General features: G+C 34.3%; 1 long non-coding RNA gene across 1 annotated transcript; it reads left to right on the top strand.

Moving 5' to 3' along the window:
* Positions 1-890: 890 nt before the first annotated feature.
* Positions 891-5,550, top strand: LOC105374163 (uncharacterized). The gene is made up of 3 exons (XR_924589.3): positions 891-4,176; positions 4,865-4,935; positions 5,340-5,550. It is a non-coding gene; the product is annotated as an uncharacterized LOC105374163 (long non-coding RNA).
* Positions 5,551-5,891: the final 341 nt, after the last annotated feature.

The following is a 5,891-nucleotide window of genomic DNA, read 5'->3' as shown; positions in this document are numbered from 1 at the left end:
GGGAGACTCCATCTCAAAAAAAAAATTTAATAAATAAAAGAACTACCAGAAACTGGGTAATTTGTAAAGAAAAGAGGTTCAATTGACACAATTCCACAGGCTGTACAGGAAGCATGGCTAGGTGGAGAGGCCTCAGGAAACTTATAATCATGGAGGAAAGCGAAGAGGGCAGGCAAGTCTTACATGGTGGGAGCAGGAGAAAGAGTAAAGGAGGAGGTGCTACACACTTTTAAACAACTAGATCTTACATGAGAACTTACTATTACAAGAACAGCAAGGGAGAAATCCACCCCAATGATCCAATAATCTCCTACCAGGCTCCTCCTCCAACAGTGGGGATTACAATTCAACATGAGATTAGGGTGAGGACACAAATCCAAACCATATCAGCCTACTATGAACCCACAAAAATTACAAATAAAAAAATTAAATTTTTAAAAGATGGTGAAATAACCACAAGATACAAACAAAATTTAAATAATCAAAATTGACTACCTGATTAAACTCCATCTAAACATATTTTCAAACATGAATGAAAACATTAATTTTCTGGGAAGATATACATTACTAAAATTGGCCTCTACATTTGCATAAGCCAATCCAATAAACATAGAATACGTTTGTCAAAGAGCTACCTTTTTAAAAATTTTGGTACATGGTGTGGGTTTATGTATATAAAACTGTTTCCTTACACGGACCTCCCTGGAATGGAAATTCTGACTGGAGCAAGGCAAGTGGGTATGAAGGTCAGCAAACTGAATTGGTGTGGCACTGGATTTCCTGGTGAATGCAATGCCAAATGACAAAATAAAACCTGCATAGAGATTAGCTCTTCTCTAAAGCTCTGCTCAATTTCCTTAGAGATTTGTCTAGAGTTTATTTTATGGGAGAAAATTTTGGTAACAGCTCACTATGAACAAAAGCTACCTCAGGTTTCTGTTTGTTTAGTTTGTTTCCTCCAACTGTGATTTCTCATCCTCTTCCTGTTTTGCAGAAATTCAGTGTAATTTCCCTTTCACGATGATATCCTCCCTTACGTTAACCTCCACAATTCTTTTTTTCTATTATGAGTTTATTCTTAATCACACACCTTATCTTTTTTTTAAGTGAGGTCTTAGCAGGCATGGGAGACAAATGCATGTTCCTGGTCGGCCACCTTTGACAGCAAGAATTTTTATCTCTGTTCAGAAATACTGGGATGTAAATATTGAAAGATAAGTAAAACATATATACATGTTTTTTCAAGGCCAAAATTATTCCCTGGAGAAAGCATATATTCTTTAAAAAGCAATTTCTGTTAAGCATTTTACTAAGATAAGTAATATTTACATTTATGAATAAATCTAGATGCACAATAGCTTCAAATTGTAGCAACATAGTCATCATATCTGTTTAATGTCCATATAACCAATATTAAGATAACTTAGCTTATTACATATTATTAATAATAGTAAAGATAGTTTAGAAACATAAAAGTTTACTTGACCAAAATATGAACATTTATGTAAATGTCGACTACACATAAATCATGTTATTAAAAAGAAAGCCTAATTTTCTTACTAAAAATATATTTCTGTTTCCCCAACTTTCTACCTTTTCTTACTACCAAGAAATTCTCATCTCTCCTTTGCATCCCCATCACCAGAATAAAAGGATTGGATGATAAGGGGTTTTGAAAGATAGTCTTACATTCCACTTATCTCTATCCTAATACTCACAAACTAGCAAATAAGCAACACATCCTTTAAAAATTCTAGTATTCCCATATTTCATATTAAATCAAAGTTGCACATTCACATATACTATCCATGATTCAAGGCATAGCTATATAATCTAACTACCATGAGAGACTTAGTTTTTTTAATTTTGAAATCCAGCTTCAGAAATTCAGCATCTCCGAAATCAAAGTATTACAGAAGTGCTAGCAGAAAATCAATTTTTAATAAAATTTTCAATAAACTACTTTGGAAGACATCATTTACTTTAAGATATGTAAGAAGATTCCTAAATAAATATTCTCAATTCTTTCATAAATTGATCATAAAATTCACACAAAATGTAATTGTATATTTCTAAAATTTACACGTACTAATCTCAATGTGTACTACAAGTAAATTCAAGCAAATAAGTTTTAAAATATTTGATACATCAACTTTATATTAATTAGATTAATACATTTTAACATATTCTGGCTGTTCATTTAATAAATAAAAGGAAAATGTATTATGATGTTCATTCCCTGATAATGCAACATCAATCAATTGGTTTTTTTAATGTAACTATGAAAAGTAATTTCAAACTTAACTCTTGTTTGAATTGTCAAAATTAGCAGGTATTTGTTTTGAAATGTAATAGGATTTTAATAAATTTAATTAGAAACAATTTGGTTAATTCAGTGGAAGAATAGCAAAACAAATCATTTGATAATCCCTCATCTTCCCTTTCCTGTTTCATCACTCATACTGTCATCTTAAAAAGAAGTTTATCCCTGAATTACCTACTTCTGCTGTCTTGTCCAGAAGCCTTACCTAATTACTGAATCCCATGATCACTGTCAACTCCAAGTAGCCTTTTTCTTCTTCCTGTGACTTGCGGGGGCAACAATAAGTGAGAAACACTTTGTTTTATTCACTGCTCCATGGCAGATGGTAGTAATTTAAACATTTTTGATAAATAAAAAATTGAATGAAAATATAACAGCTATAGTAAATAAGCATGCTAGACTTAGTAAGATAAATATTACTTTTTCCACATATATGACATAAAAATAAGGATGACAAAAACTATTATTCATAGTTTGTGATGTGTTCACAAACTGTGAATAATTACTCAGCAGAGTAACCATGATGTGTGGTAGAATGCTTCCTACACTTTGTTCAACTTGTTATTTTCCGCCTCTTACCAACACACCTGATACTTTCTTGACATGTTTCTTATTTTGTTTACTTTGTCATTCAGCAGAGAAAATACAGTTCAGCATCCATCTTTTAAATTGTGCAGAGAGTAAAAATACTCTGGGCCAAGATAGCCAATCATAGTTTTTCTTTTATTTAGAAAAAATGCAACTTGATATTAAAATACTGAGAAAGAATTGGAAATTAGAGTTGAGTGATAGCAGAGATATTAAGAAAGGGAGAAAACTGACAGCGAATCAAGGAAAGAAAAATGAGACATCTTGGTTGGGAAACTAGAGCACATTGCAAAATATCCTTAAGAGTAATGTGCCTGATGACCATTTTGGCATTGAAATTGAAAACAGGATGTAGAAAGCAACAGATAGATAAAATGCTTCGTTCAACTCTTGAGAACATCTCGGCTGACCAGTAGTTTCTCTTCTGGGAAAATGGAAACAGAAGGAAAACTTAGCTTAGACAATCACTATGCCTATAAATTAGTAGAGGTCTTGTTTACTGACTTAGCCATGGGAAAAAGAAACTTTATCAGATAAGTCATTGAATAGCTCATCCAATTCCTTAAGTTTTAGAAGAGAAAGCAATGATACAAGGCAGTCAAGCAACTTGCTCAAGTTAAATGCATATCTACTGACTTCTAGTGAGATGGCCTTTCCAAGATTTATTTGACAGTGAATTCTTTTAAAATGACTATTTAGACTTAAAGCTTCAATACCATTACAGCAGGCAAAAACAAAGGCAGCTATGAAAACTTGCCCGTGAAGGGAGTGCAGATCAAAGACTTGGGAGGGTTTTGGGAGGAATTCTGATAGTGGTAACAAAGTGATGTCATAAACCTCACAAATAAAAGTTACCACATTGAAACATAATATATTTTTTAAAAAATAACTATTTGGAAGTAGTAGAAAGTATTCAAGTACAAACAAAAGCCAGAGGAAATTTTATTCTTATAAAACTGTGTTTACAAAAGGTAGGAAATGATTGGATATTCTCTTTAAGAACACGTATAACAAAGAGAAAAAGCCAGCCTAACCAGGTCAAAGATGCAGGGGAAATAACTCAGTACCAGGGGAGCAGCTGAGTATTTGAAAAGGAAATCCTGTAAGCAGGAGTACTACAGAAGGGGTGAGAGCCAAAATTTGCATGTTAAGTTCTGCAGAAATCTCCAACTGGCCAGTAAATTACAAATGTGCAAAGAAGAGCCCTGTGTGTCTGGTAAATATAGACCAAAAAGTCATATAGTCCTGAAAGACAGATTCACCAGGTAAGATTGTGAGTTTGCTGCTTTATTGTTGTTGTTGTTAACTAGGTGCATTTCCCAACTCATATTTCAATCTAGCAAGGAAAACCTAAAAATTTACTAGTTTGAAATAGTACAGAAAAGAGCCTGAAGCTGGTAGAGCATCTGGAAATTTAAGGGGAACTCTCCAGCAGCAGAGTAACCATGATGTGTGAGCTTAAAAATGTAACAATACATTTTGTCTGAGTCTTCAGCTGATTGCCATGCAGTTACAGCGGAGACCCTCAGTGGACAAGGGTAAGAAAAACAGCAGCTGGATGCTGTGAGCAATAAGCAGTTACCAGCTGCTGCATTCCACAGGAAAGAGTGAGGATACAGTTTGAATTTAAAAAATTAACCAACTATTAAAAAGAAAAATACCCAGAAGAACACAAGAGAATCCAGAGTTGCTACAATATATTATTTGCAATGTTCAGTATTAAAATATTACTAGACATGCAAAGAAAGAAGAAAGTGGGATCTATAATCCAGAAAAATGGCAGTCAGTGGGAACTTAGAACCCTAAACCAACAATAACAAAAAACAATTTTCTTCAGTACACTTGGAACAGTCACCCATAGATCATATGCTGGGCTGTGAACAAGTCTCAATAAACTCAAAATGACTGAACTATTACATAGTTATTCTCTGACTGACATCTGGTTTATCTCAGGGATTCCATCTGTTGATCTGATGATGGTTTTTCACTTGAGAGTTTCTCAGGGTGTCCTGGTTCTTTGTAAGGTGAGTATTTTGGGATTACATCCTGGACATTTTGATAGTATGAGACTCTGAGTCCTATGACAATACGCTGGAGAATGTTGGCTTTTCTGCTATTGTTGTGGCTGTTTCAGCAGGCAATTAACCTAGTTAGGTTCAAACTGGAAGTTCTGTCTTAGCTTCCATGGGGAGCATTCCAAAGTCAATTGAGTTTTAAAAGCCATTGCTATGCTGCTTTTGGTCTGTCCCACATATGAACAGCTCAGGGCTGAGCTGAACTTTTGTCAGTTCACACACAGAATTAAGGCATCCCTATTTTCGATTCTCTCCTTTCTGCAAGTTTTCCCCTATTATCTGACTCCCAGGGCTCTCTTTTCCTAGTTCCCTGTCTTGAAAGATGTTCTTTGTTTTGTTTTTTGGCGTTTTAGCCACTTTTGCTGCTGCACAGTTATGCACAATTCGGGCTGCCATTAAAGCAAAGAGTAGCTCCTTTCCTGTTCCTCTGGCCGGAAAGACCATTTCTGAAATTTGCTGCCTGAACCAATTGCCCAGAAGCTGGAGCTGCCCTTGGACCAAAGCACAAAGAAAAAAGAGGAGATAATTAATTGGGAAACTCACCCAATAAAGATTGTTTATCAAGTTTGGTCTTTACCAATTCATTTATTAATTTTCAGAGTAGTTGCTTGTTTATTTTGGGTATTTTATCCAGGGTGTTTGGTTGTGGTCAATGGGAAAGATAGATATAGTGTTCTTATTCTATTTTGTTCACTGCCAGAGTCTGTGGGTAATTTTGTTAGTCATCTCCCCCCTTTACCAAATTTATTATAATGAGCACAAATATTATGTATGTATTTAGGAATAAATATAAAATGATAAAAATAGCCTTTGCTTTACATTTTCTAAAACTGCTTGGCAAAAAAACACTTTTATAGAATTTCAGCCCAGCATAACTGAAAGAAATATAGTTTAGTGACTTGTGT

This window comes from Homo sapiens, chromosome 3, assembly GCF_000001405.40.
Source record: "Homo sapiens chromosome 3, GRCh38.p14 Primary Assembly".
In the NCBI taxonomy this organism is placed as follows: Eukaryota; Metazoa; Chordata; class Mammalia; order Primates; family Hominidae; genus Homo; species Homo sapiens.
The sequence above is the reverse complement of the archived record's forward strand: the minus strand, read 5'-3'. Positions and strand labels throughout refer to the sequence as shown.